Raw genomic sequence first — 24,377 nt, 5'->3', positions numbered from 1 at the left:
AGGACTCAGTTCTCACCAAACAGACATCTCTATAGCACTGCTCACATCATGGCCATTGGCTTCTGCCAGAGTTAGTGACTGAAGAGAGATAAAGAGTAGAAGGGAGCAAGATGGAATCCAATGCCAGAAGGAATAGCTTGTTACTTCTGCTATCTTCCACTGTCCACACAGACCCTGTACAATACCAGAGGGGACTGTACAAGGCTGCGAAGCCCAGGAGGAGGGGCTCATTTAGGGCCGTCTTGAAGACTGACCACCACACCTTCTGTCTTGGATTCCATGTTTTCTTTCCTTGGTTGACTCTTTTCTTTCAATGGATTACATCTTCTAGGAGCATCTTGAAAAAAGGCTTTCCTGGGAAGTAATCTGTTTTAGATGTTGCCTTCGTGCATATGTCTTTATCCTCAATCTTGAATGATGATTTGAGTTTAGAATTCTAGGTGGATAGCATTTTTCTTCAGCATTTTGAAGGCATTTCATTTCTCCATTATTGTGTAATTCTTAGAGTTATTATTCTCAAGTCTAATGCCATTCTGCATCTCCATTGTTTTTGTGCTCTTGAAGCTTTTAGGATCTTCTCTTTATCCCTTGTTTGCTGGAGTTTCATATCTATGTGTTTTTTTGCTTTTTCACATATTTATATATTTTCCTGGAAACGTGATAGACTCTTTTAACTTGGAAACTCAGGCTCCTCAATTCTGTGAAGATTTAATTTTTGTTTATCTGGTAATTTTCCCAGTTAACTCTTTCTGGGGTTGTATTTGTCGCAAGTTTAACTGGTATCAATTCTCTGATCTTCTAAGTACTATTTTTTTCTATTTTCTATTCATTTTTCTTTGATCTACTTTCTGAAAGACTTCCTCAGCTTTATCTTACAAAACTTTAATTAATTTTTAAATTTCGGCTTTTATGTTTTTAATATCCAAGAAGCCCTTTGTTGTTGATGAATGTTCTTTTTTTTCTTAAAAAACAAAAAACAAACAAAAAAACCACATTGTCCTTTCATTGGTTTTTTTAATAATTTTGTCTGTTTTTTTTTCCCCATTGGATGCTTTCTGAGGATGTATGTTTTAGTCATTCTGGACTGTCTATTAGCACACAAAAGTGCAACAGCTGCAGCTATTGGAACTGTGTGTGCAGAGGTGAGGCTTGCTAAGACGTGGGCTTTAATTTTGGGTAATTGGTTGGGGCTGTTTCATTGATGGATATCCCAACTCTCAGTATTTATAGGTTTTTTTCTTTTCCCCCTTCTTGGCTTGTTTCTGTTTCCTCAGAGAAGAATTACTCAACCTCTCACTTAGGGTGTGTGTGTTGGGGCGTGGGTAACAAACGAAGAGGCCAGGATTCTAGGAGCTGAGTAAGGCAAGAGGGATGAGGGATCTCATTGAACCTTGTGCTAAATTCCTCCCAGTTTCCTGTTTTAGTAGGGTATTCCTCAGCTCTGCCGGCTTCCCTGAATCTGGAGATTGTCAGGGTTCAGCCTCTCAGTAAATTGCCAGCACAGAGAGACAGTCACCTGACAGTGCTACTCGAAAGAGGAACTGGGGGAAGGGTTTCACTGCTTCATAGAGGGATTTTCTTCAAAGCTTCTCTGTCTCAGGGGTGCCCTTCTTCTAGACTTCATCGCTGTCTTCTACAGCCTTCGTGCTGCCTTCTGTTGGGGAACATTTACCTCGTCTGTTCTGCACATAGAGAGATGTTTATTAGAACAGCAGTTCTCAGAGTGTGGCCCAGGGATCTCTGAGGGATGGAAGGTCAAAATATTTTTTCTAAAAACACTAGATATTATTTGCTCTTTTCACTCTCATTCTCCTGTAAGTGTGCAGGGGGAATTTTCCAGAGGCAACATGACATGTGATATCACAACAGATCGAATGCAGAAGCAGCTGTGATAATCCAGCTGTCTTCTGTTAAGGCAGGCATTACAGATACTCTGTAAAAATGAACAACAAGGACACTCTTCTCATTATACTTTTTGGTTTGGAAGAAATTATTATGTTTCATACAATATGTTATTCACGTTAACATCTACTGGGTTTAGTAATAGTATTTAAATAAATAAATACTAAAAAGTATCAGTTTTATAGTAGATATTTAAATATATAACTAGCATGAACAAAAGCTCTTTGAGGTCTCCAATTATTTTTAATAGTGTAAAAGGGCCTTGAGACCAAAAAGTCTGAGAGCACTGCGTTGAAAACAATGCTTCTGGATTCTTTTTTCTCGTCTTGACTCCCCCCCAGGCAACAAGGAGTGACATACTTAATTGGGGAGAGCTGGGAAGGAACTGGGCAGGCATAGCTCAGCCCTTTCTGCTCACCTTTCTTTGAGGAAATCCCAAGATCTTAAACTGAAGTTTCGCCTGTCTGAAGCAGAGTATGTGCTCTCTTTAGCTCTCGGCCCTGTGTAGGCTTAGAGCCTGCTGGCTCTATTCTGTGGTAAGACTTGAAATGGCTCAGTATTGCTTGCAGTTATATTAGGTAAATCTGCCCAAATCTGAAGTCAGCAAATTTATCCAATTCAGGCAGAATAAGCTATGCTTTCTAATATCGACTTTATCAGCAATCAAGGAGATGTTTAACTTAAAAAGTTTAATTTTGAAATAATTTTAGACCTACAATTTGCACGAATAATACAGAGAATTTCTGTATGTTCTCCCCCAGCTTTCTTTAATGTTAACTTTTTACATAACCACAGAACAAAGATAGAAAGCAGGTGATTCATAATACATTACAATTAGCTAATCCATGGAACCGTATTTGAATTTCATTACTTTTTCCACAAATGTTTTTCTAGTCCAGTGTCCAATGTAGGATTCCAGATTAAAGGTGACATTTGATCTTCCGTTGTCTGGCATCCGTGTCTATGTCATAGTACTCCACTGAGGAAAAAGGAGGGTGTTAGTTATCAGTCTCATTTGGCTCCCAGGACCTCCAAATCTTGTATCTTTCTGGGATTCTATGATGTGAAAGAGTTGGCTCCTATTGTCTTCTTACCTCTCTCCTCCAGCATGATAGTTTCCAGCCTTCTCTCTTTGACTAACTCAGTTACCAGGGGTCCACCTCCTTTTCATCTTCCAGAATTTTGTGGATTCTTCTCTTTTGTTGTTGTCTGCTGTCTTGTTTGCTGTGATTTGCTTTCTGAGAGACTTTTTGTGTGTGTGTGTGTGAGACAGAGTCTTGCTCTGTTGCCCAGGCTGGAGTGCAGTGGTGTGATCTCGGCTCACTGCAACCTCCACCTCCCAGGTTCAAGCGATTCTCATGGCTCAGCCTCCTGAGTAGCTGGAATTACATGTGCATACCACCACACCTGGCTAAATTTTGTATTTTTAGTAGACGGGGTGTTTCACCATGTTGGCCGGGCTGGTCTGGAACTCCTGACCTCAAGTGATCTGCCTGCCTTGGCCTCCCAAAGTGCTGGGATTACAGGTATGAGCCACTGTGCCTGGCCGAGACTTCCATTTTTCTCTCCCCAGTCTAGGGCCAGTGGTCAAGCCCCGTTCATGCTCTGAGAACTTGAGAGTTAATGTATTTATTTATTCCTTTAATATTAATATTGGATAAATTTCAGAAAAAAAGCAGAGATAAATGAATAGGTTTAATCTCCTTGTTTAATTACGAATCTGGCTCCTGATGTATAATCCCCAATTTGTACATTATTTTTGCTTTTCAATTGAAAACCTTATTTAAATAGATTTAATGATTACTGTACTTAAATGAAGCTTCCTAATTGCTCTTAAGTCAAATAAAGGCTATGAAAACATTGGGTAGCTTTTTCACAAATTTTACAGATATGTTGATTTATTGTAATCAAACACATCTAGGCCCTGATTAGAATGCTTTTTGTAGCTTACCTTGCACTTCTTAGCTTGGAATCAAAAGCCATGTCCAGGGATTTGCTTTATCCTTTAGGCTTGGCTGGTATCCTGGTGCCTCCAGCTACTCACTTCTCAGAGATCAACTGTGGGTCTCTCCTCCTCTCCTCCTCTTTCAATTTCTAAAGGAAGGATTGCTGGAAGGAAGAAACCCTATCTTATCTCTGGTTCCCAGCTCCCAACTTTCTTCTATCATTTTCTCACACTCAACTGAAAAGGAAGCGTGAGGTTATAGCGGTGCAATACTTTTCTTAAAGTATTCGATTATCCTTAATTACTTTTCCTTGAATTAAATATGAATTAAAAAAGTCTAAACAGTTTATAGTGTTTATAAGAAGAGTAAAATATTCTCTTTCCATCTCTTATTTTTAAAAATTACCTTAGCATATATCTATTCCTTGTCTTTATACTTTTGCTTTGTAGTTAGTTAGTTTCACATCTATAAATAATGTGTTACATTACTTGTTGTGGATTTTAAAATGGCATCCATAATTTGCTCTTGGGATGGAGGGGAGGAGTGGGAATGGGAGTGGAGAAGGGGCTCTAGGGGACAGTATCTTTGAGTTTAATCCTTCACTTCTTGTAAGATAAAGATCTGAAGCATATATAACAAGATATTAATGTTTGTTTATTTTGGGTGGCAGAGAGGAGTGTTTATGATATAATTTGTACTCTATTTTTAAAATAATTTTTCAAATTTCAAAGTTAACATTTTTCAAACCTAGATATAGCTTCATTTTAGTAGGAATAACAGCGATTACTTGGCCTTTTGTCATCTGAGAAGGAATCATTTTTCATAAGTGTAATGATTCTATCCAACTGAAACTTAACTTACAGGTATGTGAACTATATTTCCCAGGACACTTCTATGTTGGTACGGGAGAATATAACAACAGTTACAAAGCAACATTTCTGTATATCCATTCTCATTTGGTCTGAACAAGGTTCAGACCTCTCAAATTTGCCAAAATAGTCTGAAAATCTCTAAGAAATGGATGTGTTATGTAACTTCAAAAACATCTCCTCTCCTGGATAGCTATAATAATAACCCTGGTTCCCACAGATGCCAAGTGCAGCTGCATTACCAGTGTCCACCCACAAAACCACAACTGCCAATGTCCATGATGAGATACTTAATGTAAGTTACTTGATGACTGGCAGTGAGGGCATGACTTCTGTGCCCTTGACACCTGAACATTGAAGCTATTACTACCCATGGTGACAATGTGCACAAAGCTGCTGCCACCATCACCCAGCCACTGCTAGTACCAATGTTGCTGATAAACTCTAAAGGTCCCATGCAGGCTTCAGAGAAGAAAGTGTTTTGGCTCCCCTGGCACAACCTGTCATGAGTGTGGGCTGGAGGAGAGTCTGAATGACAGTCCCCATGCTATACTCTCATTTACTTCTCTCTTCCAAGCTTCAAGAGGACATTGACTCTTTTTTTGGATGAGCTCTATCCTAGGAAGAGTTTGATCATAATTAAAAAGATTCCTGGTGAGCCTGCCCCACCAGTACTTTTGCAATGTACAAATACATTAAATTTGAGATGAATACATGATAGATTCAAGCTGGGTCTCTGTTACAAGTTCTAAAGCATTTACATTAAAAAATATTATTTAGAAAGGAACTTTTCCTAATACGGATTATTTACTTTCCTGACTTCAGAAATTGTTTTTATAATTCTAGTGTAGACAACAGTGAAAACAAGGTACTCTTAAGTTTCTGGTAATTATTTGTAAAATAAAAACATAATAATGAGTTTAGACAGATGCAAAAACATGACAAATATAAATGTTGCTAGGGTCCAGAAACAGGAAGTACAATATGCAACTGGCTATATTAGCATGTCAAAAAGCTATTATGAAGTATGTTGAATTAATATTTAGTAAGAAAAATCATGTCAATGAGAAAAGGAAGTAGATGATTAGTGACGGAAGTTAGCAAGGTCACAGAGGCAGACTTGGCGTTATGTCTCTGCTCTGATCAGGAGGAGCTCTCCTGTCCAGCAAATGTCATCTGTGTCGGGATAGGAATAACCTTTTCATGGTGATGCAGCCATCAGGCCCCATACAGTACAAATAATCCTATTTAAACATCAGCATCTTAAAGCCAAATGCTGTTGATCTGATTCCATGATCACTAAGTCAACAGGTTATAACTGAGCTCCCAACAAATATCCTTTCCTCTTGGCAGTGAAATTTTTTATTTTAAAGACATAATTTGCACTTTGGTTTATATAGTGGTCTTTTATAAGCAAGGTGAATGTGAATGTATCTATAGAGAATGATCTACTCGCAGGTTGTCAAAAAACATCAACTATATGAGCTTGCAATATTGAGAAAAAGATTCTAGAGCACTGTGAATTCACCCAAGTGTCAACAGGAGAATTCTTGTTGGCCAAGCAATAACCTACCTAGCTATAGAGACCACAACGAAATGAATGCAACTGCATTAGAACATTCGGAATACAGAAAAAGCCAGCCTTAATCCCACCAATGTTATAGTTTCCGTGTTACTCTTAACTTTTTGTGTATTTACATGTAATCATTTTTATGTGTTGTATGTGTTTCATGAGTGTGTGTGTATATGTGTGTGTGTCTCAGTCCATTTGTGCTGCTATAACAAAATACCACAATATTTTGAGTAATTTATGAAGAACAGAAATTTCTATCTCTTCACAGTTCTGGAGGCCAGGAAGTCCAAGGTCAGGGCACCAGCGGGTCAGCCTCTGGTGAGGATCTGCTCTGCTTCCTTCCTCACATGGTGAAAGGCTTAAGAGCAAGGGGCACTGAACGTTGTGTCCTCACATGGCAGAAGAGCAGAAGAGAGAAAACCCACTGCTTTTAAAAATAAGAGCCCTAACCCCATCCATAAGGCAACTTAATCCCCTCTTAAAGAATCCACTTCTTAATACGACAGATAGTCCCAGACTCACAATAGTTCAACTTGTGATGTTTTGACTTTACAATGGGTTTATCAGGGTATTAAATGATTATTTATACTTTTTGACATGACATTTTTTACTCACAATGGGGTTAATTAAAACCATAGTTGCATGTGTATGTGTGTGTGTGTACACACACATATATTTACATATACATACACATTTTCTCATGTTGCTTATATAATTTAGTCACTGATTTTTAAATGTAAGTTTATTTTATGTGTGTAGTCATTTAACATATATTGGTGGGCTTTTGTTTGTTTTTGTTTTTGAGACAGGGTCTCACTCTGTTACCCAGGCTGAGGTGTAGTGGTGTGATCTTGGCTCACTGCAGCCTCCGCCTCCTGGGCTCAAGTGGTCTACCTGCCTCAGCCTCCTGAGTAGTTAGGACCACAAGTGCATGCAATCATGCCTGGCTAATTTTTTTTTTTTTTTTGAGGGAAAAGTTTTCGCTATGTTACCCAGGCTGGTCTGGAACTCCTGGGCTCAAGTGATTCTCCCATCTTGGCTTTCCAAAGTGCTGAGATTACAGGTGTGAGCTACCATGCCTGGCCTCATTTAATACATATTTTTCTAATTGCCACTATGTTCTTGGTGCTGCTCTAGGCATAGAGTGAAAAAAAGCTTTTGTCCTCAAGAAGTGCACATTCTAAAATAAGGGACAGAAAATAAAATAAAGCCTGAATGATGGCATGTCTCAGGTGACAGTGACACGAAGAGCAAGTCAAGCAGCGGAAGGAAAAAGACATTGGTGGGTGTGCTCTGGTTCAGGCTGGGGATCAAAGTAGTCATCTTGAAGGAAGTGACATTGAATAAAGGTCTGACTCAACTTTTAAGGATGTGGTGTTTAATAAAAAAGGGGAAAATTAGATCAGATAAGATTTGGGATTTATTGATATCTATTACTGAAATTTCAATTTATTTCTTTAAAATGTAAGAGTGGGTTTGATATAGTATGACTATGGAATATTTACTAGCTCTGGCATTTTAGAATATTAGATATTTGTTATCTTAGAATATAGATGTGTATATTTTTATGTACATTCATTGGAATAGAAGGCAAAGAGTGATGCATACGTGTGAATGCTTCCGTGTGGGAAAAATTCCCCTGGCCTCCTGGCGGACTCACTCTCCAAGAACTTCACTTTCTTTCTGCACATTAAATACTAAAACAACACAACTCACTTTGGTGCCCTTAAGTGCTATAGGTATATTCACATTTCACCTAAGGTTTTCCTATCATTTCTAAGATTTTTATTTTGTTTTCCCCAAATTATAGTGTAGGTTTACGTCCTTTATAAGGTTCCCACAATCAGCTGATAAACATCTGAATCAAATTTACTACGAGGTGGTTTCTGACTGCCCTATTTCTAGCTAGTTTATTTTTTACTCAGTCAACAGTTTTCAAGCTCATATTATGTGCCAGGAATTGGGGAATTGAGGCCAGAGATGGAAGATAAAGTCACTCTCCTGACAGAGCTCTGGTTGGGGAAACAATCAGGGGAATGCCAACATGATGGAACAGGTGCTGTGACAGAGGCAAGGGCAGGACACGGACAGCCTGGCCAGGAAAGGCTGCCGCAGACAGCATGGGAGGTCTCCAGAGTCCTCATTTCCAAAGGAGACAGAAGATCAAGGGTCTGTACATAATTTAACCAACAATTCCCTGATTTGTTGTACATGATGATTGCTTCTAATATTTCATCAACATAAAATAAATCAAAGCAATTCCACTTCTGGATATATACCCCAAAGAATGGAAAGCAGGGACTCAGAACAGATATTTGTGTGCTCCTGTTCACAGCAGCAGTATTCACAATAGCCAGAAGGTGGAACGAACCCAACCATCCATGGATGAATGAAATGTGTGAATGATAAACAAAATGTGGACTATACGTACAATGGAATATTAGTCAGACTTAAAAAGGAAGGAAATTCTGACACATGGTATAACATGGATGAACCTTGAGGATGTTATGCTAAGGGAAGTGAACTAGCCCCTCAAAATGCAAATAGCTTATGATTACACTTATATGAGGTACCTGGAGCAGTGGAATTTATAGAAACAGAAAGTAGAATCATGGTTACCAGGGGTGGGGGTTGAGGGAGATAAGAATGGGGAGTTTTTGGCTGGGTGTGGTGGCTCACGCCTGTAATAATAACACTTTGGGAGGCCAAGGTGGGCGGATCATGAGGTCTGGAGTTCAAGACCAGCCTGGCCAAGATGGTGAGACCCCGTCTCTACTAAAAATATAAAAATTTAGTTGGGCGTGGTGGCAGGTACCTGTAATCCCAGCTACTTGGGAGGCTGAGGCAGGGAATTGCTTGAACCCGGGAGGCAGAAGTTGCAGTGAGCAGAGATCGCGTCACTGCACTCCAGCCTGGGCGACAGAGCGAGACTCCATGTCAGAAAGAAAGAAAAAAAAAAGAATGGGGAGTTGTTGTTTAATGGGTACAGTGCTTACGTTAAAGATGATGAAAAACTTCTGGACATGTATAGTGGTGATGGCCACATAATGTGAATACACTTAATGCCACTGAACTGTACACTTACATGTAGTTAAATGGTACATTTTATATGTGTATATTTTATAATAATTTTTAAAAAGGTAAACTAAGATGACTTTCTAATGCATTTAGACAATGAGACAATGTCCTGATGCATAAATCAGATTTCCCAGAATCTGGGTTATTTCTTTGTTCTAGAACCTAGAAGGGATTTTACTGGATCAAAGTTCATGGTATTTTCTGGCCTTTAATAAGTGTCACCAAATTATTTTGTGGAAGCAATTGTGCAGTTTTACTGTTCTCCTAGGTACATCCAGAAGTACTGATCTCATTGTCCATATCCTGATCCTCATCCTTGACTAATGGAAAGAAAATAATTTTAATAATCACAGTGTTAGTGAAGGACTGAGCACTGAGCCTAGGACCCAATTAAATGATAAGAAAAAATGGTGACTTCTTTAATGTTCATTTTTATCATTACTAGTGAGTTTTAACCTCTTTTGCTATCTTTTTTTTTTTTTTAACTAGATGTATTTTCTACTGTGTGGATTCTCTGGTTTCTTGGAGTATTTTATTTTACTTTATTCATTTTTTTTGAGACAGGGTCTCGCTCTGTCACCCAGGCTGTAGTGCAATGGTGTGATCATAGCTCACTGCAGCCTTGAACTCCTGGGCTCAAGTGATCTTCCTGCCTCAGTTTCTAAAGTAGCTGGGATGGCAGGTGTGTGCCACCACACCCAGCTAATTCTTGGAATATTTTAAAATTCATATCTCACTTTCTTTGCAGCTGGTAGAATACATATACAGCAACAGGGTATTTTAAAAGTGAGGAAAATTGAAGCAAAGGGAAAATAATGGTGGGAAAATAAAATGAAGACAGGGTAAGTTATTGCATATGAAATTTTACAGGGGATCTGGCTAGAGGAAGGCAACACATTTGTCTATGAGTCTTCTGGAAGCCAATAGAAAAGAGGAAAACAAGATCCACAGCTTCATGAGCTAAGCTAACATATTCTTAGTAGCAGCACATCAATTCCTGATATAGAATTGGAGACAAATTCTTCCTGTGAGTTCATAGGGTAGACTGTATCAAAAATGGCAGGAGCAATATTTTCCATCTTATGTGATTTTCCAGAACATTGTCACACCCCCACCCAACAAAATGTGGAGTCTATTTTCCCCTCCCCTTGAACCTGTCCTGGTCTTGTAACTCAGGGGTCCCCAGCCCCTGGGCCTTGGCCTGTTAGAAACTAGTCCGTACAGCAGGAGGTGAGAGGTGGGTGAGCGAGCATTACCACCTGAGCTCAGCCTCCTGGCAGATCAGCGTTGGCATTAGATTCTCATAGGAGCGGGAAACCTATTGTGAACTGCACATATGAGGGATCTAGGATGCGTGCTTCATCCTGAAACCAACCCCCTCCAGAATTACCCTCCGCCCCTCGCCCCATGGAAAAATTGTCTTCCATGAAACCAGTCCCTGGTGCCACAGAGGTTGTTGGACACCGCTGTTGAAACTGACTGTCTTGATTAATAGAATATGGCAGAAGTAAGGCTGCGTGATGTTTGAGACTAGATCACTAATGGCAATACAGCTTCCCCCATGCTCTTTCTTGGGACACATGCCTTGGAAGCCCTGAGCTGACATGTAAAAAGTCTGGCCACCTTGACGCTGCCATACTGGAGAGGCCACGTGGTGGAGATAAAGAAGAGTATCCGACCCCACGAAGCTGAGGGGAGCGGAAATGACTTGTTCTTGTGGAGCACCACCCACATTGCACATTTATGGGCAAAAATAAATTCTATTTGTTGCTTTAAGTTCCTGTTTTTTAGAGTGATTTGTTAGGTAGCGATAAATGCCTGGAAATGTTGATTTAAAGAGAACTTAAAAACTGCAGCAAACACTCCTCTATCACATCCATGTGCCCACCACTTGGGGTTCAAGGGCTGTTTCATCCAGGGCTCTCAGGATAGGCTAAAGCCAGAAGCCACAGTGCCTATCAGTGAAGCAACTAGACAGGGCTCTTCAACAAAGTACTGTGAATGTCACTGAACTTTCCTGTACTTTTTCAGGAACACACGTGTCACTCTTAGCAGTACCTGTGGAGTGTGTTCAGCTCATAAATTATCCTTAAGGCAGACACATTTGCAGAGTTTCTTCTTAAAGGTCATTTAACTTTCACAGAGAACACTTTAGACAAAATTTAAATAGTTTCTGAGTACAGGTTTACATTTATTTAATGTCAAGCTATAGGATGTCCTAGGCTTTTTAAAAATTATTATTCTAATAAAAGATTTCAGGTAAACCAGAAATAAATTCCAGATATCTGCTAAGGACTCAAACTATATGTGCATTATTCAAATCTATTATTAGAAGAGTGGAGGAGTGTTTGGGAAGTCAGATTTGTTCTCTTCCCCCTAATTAATGCCACTGTTAAGTTCCCATAATTGGTAAGCTCTCCACGGATGGGACTCAAATGAGAGCAAGAAAATCTGGGCCAACCCAGGAAAATTGTGATTAACTGAAGCTTGTCATGGGTCCCTCTCCTCCACATTTTTATTTACTGCTATTCAACAACTTCCACTGGGTGACAGAACAGAAGGAACAGAAGCCATGCCTTCCCGCCTCTGTGGCAGCTGGCAGAGAGCAAGAACATAGTAGGTTATTATCATAGTGAAGGATGTAAGCAGACTCTGGATCCAGAGAGCCTGGGTCAAATGCTGCTCATGCACTCATGAGCTGAATGATCGCCAGCAAAATATTTAGCTTCTCTGTGCCCCAGTTTCCTCATCTACAAAATAGGGATAATAGGAGTAACTAGCTCACAGGGCAGTGAGGGTTAAAAGGTTTAAAAGTCCTTAGAACAACGTGTGGCATGGGATATGTGCTATGTAAGTGTTAGCTGCTGTTACTACTATTACTATATATATCATTAATGAACTCTCAGTGAAGTTTGTTGAACGAATACATGAGTGAATAAATGCCACTCTGCTGTGCCCTAGATTTTTCCTTTTGTGCATGTTCCTATGATTTTTCTACTTCTCAGCTCCATTTACCTTGGTTTTTGAAGACTCCATCCTCTCCAGGGCTACTGAACTCTTTCATAGCACCAGGCTAAAGATTTATACATATAAATATTTCGTTTGTTCACTATTTGGCTTTCTAGAGCTCCAGGGCTTAAGTCTTCCTGTCCCTTCTGACCTTGGTTCTTTAAATGAAACTAGTTCATTCACAGTAAGAGTACAGTGTATTTAGGAGCACAACGCACACACCTTTTTCTGCTGCTTATTCAGACTCTCCTCTGGCTTACGTGCTGTTCCTTTTTCTGACCATGTATCTCTGATAATTTGCCGCCATGAGTGGGTCATTGGTACACATTTCTCCAGTTTACAGGCTTTGCTCTGCTCTGTGCAACTTTCAGCTTGTATTCCTTGGGACTTTTCTGCTCATCTCTACCTGCAGGATGTAGATGCTGTGACTGCCTGCCCCACCCTTGGTGGCCCATGCCAGCCAGTATGCTCTGACAAATTCACCACAAAGAGACCTCAGGGCCACCCTCCCAACTTCCAAGGCCCATCAGGTCTGAAGCCCCACCCCACCGCATCTTGAGAGCATTTATCTGAAGCCTTCATCAGTTCGTAGATACAAATGGGAAAACATAGTTGTGTGGTCTTTCTATTATGACTTCTATTAACACTTCATTGTGTTTATTTAGCTGTACATCTGTTTTGCTTCTTATATTGAAAGCATTTTGAATGGAAAGAATTGTGTGTCATTGTGTTGTATGTCATGGAAGCTGGGCTGTCTGTCCCAGACTTATGTTCTAGGTTCTTGACATAACTTCTTGTGTCTGTGGACTCAGGATCCATTAATGGAAATAAGAGGAGAATGGAGTTTTACCTCTGTGGTTGAGTTTTTGTCAAGTCTTGACCAGGTTTATATCAATCAATCAGCTCAGCACTTACTTGGGAGTTTCTTTGCTCTTAGGTTTCTGGTATATACTAGGCAATGCATTTGCCTAGGTGTCCTTGATTCGTGCTTTAATTCTTTGGATAATTCATTTCAGTTATTTGAGTCTTGGCTTTTTAATTTGTAAGAGTGGGGCAATAATACCTTTGAGAATTGTCTGAGGATTTAATGCAATAATTCTGATCAGATGCACAGTCTACAGGAGGACTTTGTGTAAATCAGAAAAAGATGCCCCTACTTCTAGGCAGACACAGCCCTGTGCTGGGACATGCCTCTTGTGAGTGGAGTGCAGGCTGGATTTTCCCACTCATCCTCTTGGCCGGAGGGATGCCCTCACACACACCACACATTGTACGACTGTACACAGAGACTCCATGACATTTTTCTTCCATTTATAAATTGTATTAAAATATACATAACATAGAATTTACCATCTTAACCATTTTTGAGTGTATAGTTTAGTGGTATTAAGTACACTGATAGTATTGTGCGACCATCACCACCATCCATCTCCATAACTCAGTTTCCTTGTACAACGAAAACTCTATCTGCTAAACAAGAAAACTCTCCCATTCTGCCTCTTCCCCAACCCCTAGCAACCACCATTCCACCGTCTGTCTGGAGACCCCGTGACTTTTAAAGTTTAGTTTGTAATAATAAAATGTTATATATGTATTAGAAATTCTTATTAATACATTTTTCTATCTTTCTGTTATCTATCTGTCTGTCTGTCTGTCTGTCTATCTATCTATCTATCTATCTATCTATCTATCTATCTATCTATCTACCTATCTATCTCCCCTTTAGTCATTTATCATCTCCTCCCATTTAGTCATTCCACCTCTTTACACAGAAAATTTGAGGTGGCATTGACTAGATTATGGAATCACAGCTGACATTTGCACAGTGCTCTTCCATTGATCTAAATTACTAAATTTAATCCTCATAATGGTCGAATGAGGTGGATATTCTCTTTCTAATTTTGCAGATGAGCTGACTGACTCTCGGACACACACTATTAAGTGGTGGAATCAGGATGAAAACCCAGATTTTCTGATTTAAACCCATGTTCTTTTACTAATATCATGCCATCCTATCAGCTTGTCACTATGATTAAATACAGTGTGATAGGATCATTTTTTATTTTATGTATTATATTTCAAAAATTGGAACCACTCTTCAGTGACAAACTAAACAAAATTAACATGTATTATTACAAGCACAATGGAGACACGCAGAGTTGGTCTTCTATTGGTTGGTGTACTGGTTTTAACTGTTTAAATTTTTAGTTTAATTTATATGTGAGAGAAGCAGCACATTCAACCAAAAGAGTGTGCATTCCATAGAAATGAGCTATGTTCAAAAGGGATGCAAATAGCCAGAGGAAGGAGAGATGAGGACAACATTAATGCTTGCAGCTTAAGTAATTATTCACGATCATTTATTGTGCCTACTCTATATTGCTTCATCAATATATCATGTATGATCTCACACAAAGGGGAATTCCACAGGCAGTGTTTTTGCTAAACAGGATTGAATTTTAGATGAATCTCATACATCCGTTTCATATCACCTTTTGTTACAGGATTTCAAAATGTTTGGGAAACACTGAGGAAATGAAATGATATCTAGCTCTTATCAAAAGAGCAGGAGTCTTGCACTGATGGTTATGAGAAATGTGAGTGAAGAGATATTTTGAAATTGCATGTATGCCACTCAGAACCATGACCCTGGGCTTTGGAAATCACCCATCATTAGATATTTTCCTAGAAAAGATATTTCCATGATTCCTTTAACTGTTATTGCTTATGTACTTCCAATGTAATTTTTATTGTTCAGTGTAAGCATTACACTTTTTATTTCAGTGGTATCAGACTTAGGAAAACTTTATGAAGTAGACTGGATGTATTTTCATAATTCCAGGCCTTGAGGCATTTCTCCAAAGGTATAAGGTCATGATGCCACTTCTGACTTGAAAAAGTGTCAAAGTCATGTGACCTTTAAAACAAAGGGAATCCGGGCTTCTTGGGACTTACGTTGAACTATAAGAAAGTAGGGAACAGGACAAACACCCACACTGTAGTCTAAATTTGTCAGCTGTGTCTTAGGAGACATAATTTGATTTATGGCATCATTGAGTCCAGATTACAGAGAGCAAGAGAGCCCATATGGTGCTTGGCATTTTGGCAAGGAATATGATTTATACAGGAACTTACTGGTTTTAAACTCAGAGTCATGGAATTATTTTAAGAATTTGAGGGAGCTTTAGGTTTAGCTCAACATAGTTCAGTCCAACATCTTTGTTTCCTGTGAAGAAATTGACCCCAGGGTGGAGTTAGATGACTTGTCCTGTGCTAACACCAAAACCAAGGCCTTCTGGATGCCATGTCCTTCCTCACCACACCATTCTACCACTTCCTCCTTTTTTCTGTAAGATGAGGACAAGCAGATTTATTTTTTAAAATGGTAGATTTAGGCTGGGCCCAGTGACTCATGCCTGTAGTCCTGGAACTTTGGGAGGCTAAGTTGGGAGGATCACTTGAGGCTGAGAGTTCAAGACCAGCCTGGGCAACACTGAGAGACCCTGTCTCTACAAAAAATTAAAAAACATTAACTGGGCACGGTAGCGGATGCCTGTCATTTTAGCAACTTAGGAAGCTGAGGCGAGAGGATTGCTTGAACCCAGGAGTTCAAGGCTGCAGTGAGCTATGATTGTGCCACTGCACTCCAGCCTGGGCACCAGAGCGAGACCCTATCTCTAAAAATAAAAACAAAAATAAAAGGTAGATTTATTTGAAACTTTTTCTGTATGTCACACACTGTGCTTTCTTCATTATTTAATCTTCTTGAAACCCTGTGGGCCTAAGTATTATATAATTGTTACCCCATCTTACAGATGAAGAGCTGGGGTTTACAGAGATGATTAAGGACCTTGATCCAAATCACAGGAGCCAAGAGCCAAGACCTGTAAGAGTCATGATTCTAACCCACTCTTCTCTCAGAGACCATACTCTCAACTACCACCTGAAACTAACCCCCTCTGCTGTAGGCTTTTTGCTTTGGGTCACTTTGTGGAGTCTCTGTTGAGCATTAGCCCAAGTGATGGAGCCCAGAAGGAGAGATATCACTTCACTTTCTAACTTATCATTGTCTCCTTTCTCATTTTAAAATACTCTTTTTTAAATTCTGCTTTCTGAAACAGCCTTTCCTTTTACATTCTTGAAATCTAAGACAGCCCACATGCTGACTGAAGCGTTCCACCTCCATATCCCATTTCTACTCAGGGCTTTATCTGCAGTTTTCCTTCTTTTATTTATACTTTTGATTGTAAAGGTCCTTAGGGCAGAGACTTTAGTTTGTTGGGTGTAGTCTTATTTATTGTATAAGGCTGTGCCTACTTTTGACACACATATAAATATGAAAATAACAATATTACTCATTTTGACAGAACGAGATTTATTTGTAGTCATTCTTTACAAAGAGCAGGTAGTTAGTTCGATTGTTATTGTGAGAGGGGCTATAAGTGGGTCCCTCAGCTTTTTTTTTTTTTTTTTTTCAAATTTATGCACATTCTTTTTATTGAGGGTGAAGGAAGTATATTTTCCCTCTGATTTTATTGGAGTTTGGCAGCATGGAGAATACTTGTTGCATTAAGAGCATTTCCCTATTAAGTTGAATGGTTTGCTGCCTTTGGCTCCGTATTTAAGAAAATACACTGTTAGTGAAGAGCAGAACAATGAGGTATTTTGTACCGGAAAGCATTTCTACAAAGTGCTAGAGCTTGATTTATAGTGTGAATATTGTTTGGGGGATGATAAATATTCACTGTGGATTTGATTTTAGTCCCAGCAATCCAAACCACACAATTTCTTTGCATACAGGGTCACTCGGTAAGTGACATTTGTATAAGCCCATGGCTGGGATACTGGTTTGCTTCTAAGCATGGTTCTGGCATGTCCAACATAGCTAAAAAAAACAGGGACTGGACAAATTGTATTTTCTCGGGGGCTCAGTAGCTTCCCAGTAAGGAACACAAGTGGTATCCCCTGCTGCTCTGCAGACATGTCTGGGCATCTCTGACCTGGTGGGGTTGCCCACTGAAGTCTATTTGCAGAGGCACCGAGGAGGATTCTGGGAGAGCACCCATCGTAAGTGAGGGGAGAGCCAGGCATGAAGAGATTGACTTGGGAAGAGGTGAAGATGCTCTGAGTGCAGTGTGCTGCATGCAACTTGGATTTATCTCCTTGACAAAGCCTTTCTGCGTTCATGGCTGTAAGAGCGAGGCAGATTTGTTTAATCACTACCAAAAAGTAGGACACAAACCATGCTTCTTAGGGGCCTCTAAGGGAATGTCCACAGAGGGGAGCTGTCCATTCCCCTTCCGTCCTCACAGTAGACCACTGCCCAGCTTGGTTCTAATAAGCTGCTTGATTCTGTCATTCCAGAGGATTCAGGTAATTGACATCACATCTGTCTTTCCTGCTAGGCAGAGAGCTCTGCAAGAGCCATGACAGTTTCTGTCTTGCTCCCTACAGCAGCACCAGAAATTAGCATAGTGCTTGCCTCACAGAGGAGCTCAATCATTGTGTTGTTCGATGGATGAGGGCTGGCTGGAGAATGAAATAATGCTCAAAGGTGCATTAGGCTAAGGTGAACTGCTGTGCCTAACTAGCCCTTCCTAGTCAGAAAGGAGAAGGTGAACTGATATGTATTTGTGTGAGCAAGCGTGTGTGTGTGTGTGTGCGTGTGTGTGTATTTCACATTTGGATTTAGTCTTCTTAGTTTCTGTCATGTAACTTCAAGCTTACGGCAGCCTCTGGGTATACAACAACAGCAGGGCCTTCCGCTGACTGGTGAAGTCAGTGCCATGTCATAGGCTCTGATGACTGCCATTGCTTATGCACTTACCATTTGCTGCTCCTCCACATCCCAAGTTTCAGGCCTGTCTCCAATTGTCAGTTCTGCCCATCTTCTAGCCTAGGGATCAGAAGATACCCTTTTACCAGCCGTTCCCATGTTCCCACGTGTCATTTTGGTGCCGCTTGCTAAGTCCTGGCCTGCCCTTGTTTATTTTCTTTTTACTCTGCTCCTTTTTATCCACGGAGTGCATGTCTCAGTGCTCCTTAAAACTGTAGCCAAGTCTAGTTTTAACACCTTTAGTAAGAACCAGTCACAGTTATAGATTAATCCTGTGACACATGCCAGTGAGACTGGCCACGCACACAAGGAAGGATCATATTCACAATGAAGCCATTAAGTCTCATTTCCATCAGACACTTGAAAACCCAGAGGGATCAGAAGTTCTAGGTGATTTTTATGGGAGAAGGTAATTGTTATGGCATTGGGGACATTGTTCTGGAGATTGGCAGACAGTTGAAACCCTGAACACTTGAGATGGCTTTTATGGATGTTGCTAGAACAGTGAGGTCAGGGTTTGCTTGAAGAAGCACTCCGTGGCTTGCTGTTTTCCCAGACCCTCCTTTGCCCTGCCCTGATTCTGGGCCTTTGTACATTCATGTCCCCTTTTCCATCTGGCAAACTCCTATTCATCCTTTAAGACTCAGTTCCTTAGTGAAGCTTTCACAAGTTCCCAGGCAGGATTAGGGGGCCTCCACCCCACTTGTGCTTCTCTAGCACCCTTCAGTACACATCTGTATTGTGATATTTACCAAGATATAGAACAGAGGTGGCAGATCACTCTGAAAAGGGCCAGATAGTAAACATTTTAGGTTTTGGTGACCATATGGTCTCTGTTGCAGCTATTCGACTTCGCTGTTACAGGGTATAAGCAGTCACAGACAATATGTAAATGAATGAGCATGGCTGTGCTCCAGTAAAATGTAATTATGGACACTGAAATCTGGATTTCATATACTCTTCATGTATCGTGAAATATTCTCTTTTATTTAATTTTTCCCAAACATTTAAAAGTGGAAAAACTATTTTTAGCTCGTGGGCCATACAAAAGTAGGCATGGATTTGGCGTGTGGGTTAAGTTTGCCTACCCCAATATAGAGCATGTATTTGACTACATGCATTTGTCTGCCTCTTCCATTTGACAACAAGCAAGTTGAGCTCAGGGAGTAGAATTCCCAGGGCATAACATAGTTCCTAGCACCCAGTAAGAACTCAAGAAATACTTGTTAAATGAATGCTTGTGTGGGAGTATCTGAGCAATTATTATGATGTCAGGCATTGTGATGAACGTGTTATATGCATTTTCCCATTTAATTCTCATTTAATTTTGTTATCCAGGGACACTAAAACAACAATTTTCATTAGATACTGTGCTAAACATTGTCTATGTAGTCTCATTTCATCCTCTCAACAACCCCATGGTGAGTAGGTACTGCTAACATCCACTTTTACAGCCCAGGGAAATTAAGCTTAGAGAGATTACTTGTCAAAGGTTACCCCACAAGGGAGTGGGGTGGGGTCAGGAAGGAGCCCAAGTCACTAGACTCAAGGGCCCTAACTCTTACCTCCCATCCTGTGGGGACATGTTCATGAGTATGAGGCAGGTCCTGGGACTATGGTGATGCCGAAACAGGCACTGGAGATTTCCTTTTCTCTTTTCAGCCATTTGGATATGTTTAAGAATGACCACAACTGTTTTTAACTATCTGTGTAACGTTTGGAATGTTGCTTAACCTTCTGGGTCTAAGTCTTCTATTACTATAGCAAAGAGTTTGAATGACATGCTCTCAAAGGTCTCCTCTTGTGATAAGTTTCTATAATTTTGTTCTCTACTGTTTTCAACTTATATATCGCTATTGCCTGTCTCTATTCTTCTGCCGATCCTTGACTTCAGAAACTTCAGGCCTCATGGGGTTGCTTGAACTTGGAAGGGAGGAAAGGAGAAGGGAACCATAGAAAAGAAAAGTCCATCTAGCCACAAATGCATTTTTAAGTCCCTCAAATGGCTGATTTAAGTATATTTGCTTTTTGGCTTTTCTTTTGGATGCAAATTTAGGTTTTCCAAGAAAAACAAGTAACACTATTGTCTATAACAAAATGACAATAGCGATAGCATCTTCTATTTCCATAGCACCATTTAAAAGTACCTTTGAAGGTATTATCTAATTCATCCTTCCCATATTCCTTTGAGACAGGTAAGAAGCTTTTTTATTAGGACATCCTTTTATATAGCTGCAGAATGAGCCTCTCTTTGTTGTAAACCAAAGACACCAAGTGGCCCAGAGAGATTTCAACAGCAGGCCACTGGGTGAGCAGTCATTTCCCAGACTGATGGTCACGATTCTTCAAAAAAAAAAAAAAAAGCCACGCTTCTGCCAGGGCTTTTATAAACTTAAAGATATATTTTCTACTTCATATAAATGTGGCCTTTGATGTTTAAAGATCCAACATTCTTATTTGGCTGGTGTATATTAGTTAGTTTTATTGGATGGGGTGGAAAGAGTCAACTCATTCCAAATAAATATTTGCTGAAAGAGTGAAGGAATGATTGAGACAATCCTCAGAACATCAGGAATAGTATCTATGAGGAATTTCCATGCAATGTGGCCATGTCACCAGGCCCAGGTGAACTGTACAAACAGGACCTTTGGTTTGTTTTAGATTTGTCTGTGCTTAAGCAACATCTCTTTGTCTCTCTATAGATATTAAACTGTCACCAGAGGGATAGACCCATGAAAGCAAAATAAAACATTTTTTTTCCAGAGTTTCCTATAAATGAACATGTCAGATGATCTACAACTTTTAGTTTTTTTAATAAAATAACACCTCTAAGATGTCTTTGTAGTGGAAGCATTAGCTTTTAGCTTTTTTAGCCAGTTACTATCACAAATATACCCTGACTGCCATAAAAAGGCATTAGTAACATGATGACAAAAACAGAATTTGTTTAGGGGTCCATCCAACTTCCCTGTTGGTATCCAGGTCCCCAGATCCTTCATACTGCCCTCAACAGCTCCAAACCCTAACAAGAATGTTTCACCTATGTCAACTGCTGTACTCTTAATGTGTCTCCCCAAATTCATGTGTTGGAAGTTTAATCCTCAATGCAACAGCATTGGAAGGTAAGACCTAACGGTAGGTATTTAGGTCACGAGGGCTGAGTCCTCATAAATGGATAAATGCCGCTATAAAAAGGGCGTGTAAGAGTGGTTTCTGTTTCTTGCTCTTCCATCTTCCACCATGTAAGAATACAGCAGGAAGGCCAACACCAGATACCAGTGCCATAATCTTAGATTTCCCAGTCTCCAAAACTTTGAGAAATAAATTTTGTTCTTTGTAAAGTACCAGTCTCAGGTGTTTTGTTATAGCAGCACACAGGAACTAAGACTGAAGTTTCTCAAATGTCAGAACATCTCTACTTCTCTCTATTCTGTCTCCCATTGCGTTCACTCTTTCTTCATTAGAGCATCCAGCCTTCTCTAAGTAGGAAATCAAGTTGATAAGCTAATTCACATTACAGTATAAATCAGTGTTAGGCTTTCAGATTTTATGAATAAGGAAAATTTTGAAAATTTTGGATGATCTTTTTTTTTTTTTTTTTTTGAGACGGAGTCTTGCTCTTCCGCCCAGGCTGGAGTGCAGTGGTGCTATCTCGGCTCACTGCAAGCTCCACCTCCCGGGTTCACGCCATTCTCCTGCCTCAGCCTCCGAGTAGCTGGGACTACGGGCGCCCGCCACCACGCCCGGCTAAATTTTGTGTTTTTAGTAGAGGCGGGGTTTCACCGTGTTAGCCAGGATGGTCTGGATCTCCTGACCTCGTGATCCGCCCGACTCGGCCTCCCAAAGTGCTGGGATTACAGGCGTGAGCCACCGCGCCCGGCCTGGATGATCATTTTTTAATTCATCTTCTATAACCATAATTTTATAAAATAAAGGACAGCTTAATACCTAAAAATCAGGATAAATACAATCTTATAATAAAAGATAGTTTAGTCTACTAGGAGACAGTTGGCAAATTTACAATGACATATTTAAAAAAAGGATACATTTTTAGAAGATCGAATTCAATAAAATGACAACATTCAGTTTTATTTTACAATTTCACATGCAAAATTGTCAACTGAACAATCCACATCAAAAGGTCAAGAGTGTCTAACGTGATCTGAAAACTTTTTTTTAGCATAGTCGTTGTCAAATATCAAATTTCACATGGGGTAACTTGACAAAAATATAAGCTATCTATTTTAACTTGTTCACTCAACCTGAAATGTTCTAGGTGAACTCAGAAGCCTACTCAAGTTATCCATTGCTTTTCCACAATTACTCTTTGGGGGGACTGGTGAGAAACCTAAGAAATTAAGCTGTGAGCAGGGTGTCTGGTTAGCAAATAAGCTGAAAACAGACTACAGAGCAAGCGCAATGCAGCATCTGCAGACACATAAGTCTGTGCAACCTGAGTGCCCTATTCACCTAAGCTGCGGTCATTAGAAAAGTACCTAAGAAGAAGGCTTCATGTTGGTAACAATTTCTGCATGCATTGGTCACAAGCCAATCAGCCTTTGAGAACTGTTTGTGTGAATGGCATCTCTAATCTTCAAAGGGTAATTTGCATTTGAAGAGCTTATTGACCAAGTAAGTGTTCAATGCCTTCATTTTAGTGTGCTAAATAATTTTTTGGGGGGAATCTGATGATAGCCCTAGTAACTCTCCCTAGGAAAATGTCCCAAGCCCATACAAAAATTGTATGAGCTTTATGAATTTACAAAACCTTTCTCTAATGAATGAAAAAAGTGAAGCTTTTCAGAATTATGGGAGAACTATTAGGGGCAAGGAAACTTCCCTGCAATTTAAAATCATATCTATGTTGGGTACAAGTAGCCCTGTTTTCACTGGCTCAGGGTCTTATATCTTACAAATTGTGCACCTTTCTTCCAATGCTACTAGACATGGGTATACTTATAATCAGATACAAACAGAAATATATCTTTTTTATTCTTTAAATAAATTAAACAATTGCTGAGTTATAGCAAAATAGTGTCAGTTTATGCCTTTCACAGAAAAATAGAGAGAAATTATTGTCTTTTGGTCTTTGAAACCATCTTGGAGTTCAACCACTCAAACTAAGGCATCCTACCTAGATGGTCATGAAGAATTCATGCTCCAATATAATGCAGTGATGCTGCTGGCATTATAGTTGCTCATCTGCTAAACTCTTCTGTCTTATAACTGTGATGTTAGGAAAGTACAGTTGGAAGTCATAGCCACAGCAATCAGGCAAGAGAAAGAAATAAAAGGTATCTGAATAGGAAAAGAAGTCAAACAATCTCTCTTTGCTGACAATATGATTCTATATTTAGAGAACCCCAGAGACACCACCAAAAGGCTACTAGAACTGATAAATGATTTTAGGAAATTTTAGGATACAAAATTGATGTACAAAAGTCAGCAGCATTTCTACACACCAATAATGTCCAGGCTTAGAGTCAAATCAAGAACATTATCCCATTTGTAATAGCCACAAAGAAAATAAAATACCTAGGAATACAGCTAACTAAGAAGGTAAAAGATCTCTGTAAGGAGAACTACAAAACACTGCTGAAAGAAATCAGAGATGACACAAATAAATGGAAAAACATTCCATGCTCAAAAACTGGAAAAATCAATTTCATTAAAATGGTAATACTGCCCAAAGAAATTTATAGATTCAATGCTATTCCTGTCAAACTACCAACATCATTCTTCATAAAATTATAAAAACCTATCCTAAAATTCATATGGAACCAAAAAAGAGCTCAAATAGCCAAAGCCATCCCAAGCAAAAGGAACAAAGTCAGAGGCATCATACTATCCAACTTCAAACTATACTATAAAGCTACAGTAACCAAAACAGCATGGTATTAGTACAAATACAGACATACACATAGAGCAATGGAATAGAATAGAAAACTCAGAAATAAAGCCATACACTTACAACCATCTTACTTTTGACAAGGCTGACAAAAACAAGCAATGGGAAAAGGACTCCCTATTTAATAAATGGTGCTGGGATAACTGGTTAACCATATGCAGAAGAACGAAACTGGATCCTTACTTTTGACCATGTACAAAAGTTAACTCAAGATAGATTAAAGATTTAAATGTAAGACCTCAAACTAGAAAAGTCC

At 39.6% G+C, this 24,377-nt stretch overlaps 3 annotated features.

Annotated features, from left to right (window-relative positions):
* Positions 2,277–2,460: a silencer, noted in NCBI's record as "fragment chr4:139696241-139696424 (GRCh37/hg19 assembly coordinates)". NCBI's record gives its function as "represses an EF-1alpha promoter that drives an FKBP-Casp9 reporter gene in an ReSE screen in HepG2 liver carcinoma cells {active_cell/tissue: HepG2}" and the evidence as "EXISTENCE:reporter gene assay evidence [ECO:0000049][PMID:32094911]".
* Positions 3,969–4,113: an enhancer, noted in NCBI's record as "145 bp enhancer 163 fragment used in the MPRA reporter construct; PK_construct_4293". NCBI's record gives its function as "activates an SV40 promoter by MPRA in K562 cells {active_cell/tissue: K562}" and the evidence as "EXISTENCE:reporter gene assay evidence [ECO:0000049][PMID:23512712]".
* Positions 4,032–4,049: a transcriptional cis regulatory region, noted in NCBI's record as "GATA motif; enhancer activity is reduced when this motif is scrambled". NCBI's record gives its function as "necessary for full MPRA enhancer 163 activity {active_cell/tissue: K562}" and the evidence as "EXISTENCE:site-directed mutagenesis evidence [ECO:0005528][PMID:23512712]".

This window comes from Homo sapiens, chromosome 4 (genome assembly GCF_000001405.40).
Source record: "Homo sapiens chromosome 4, GRCh38.p14 Primary Assembly".
Taxonomy (NCBI): domain Eukaryota; kingdom Metazoa; phylum Chordata; class Mammalia; order Primates; family Hominidae; genus Homo; species Homo sapiens.
Note: the sequence above shows the minus strand (reverse complement) of the source record. Positions and strands in the feature narration are given on the sequence as shown.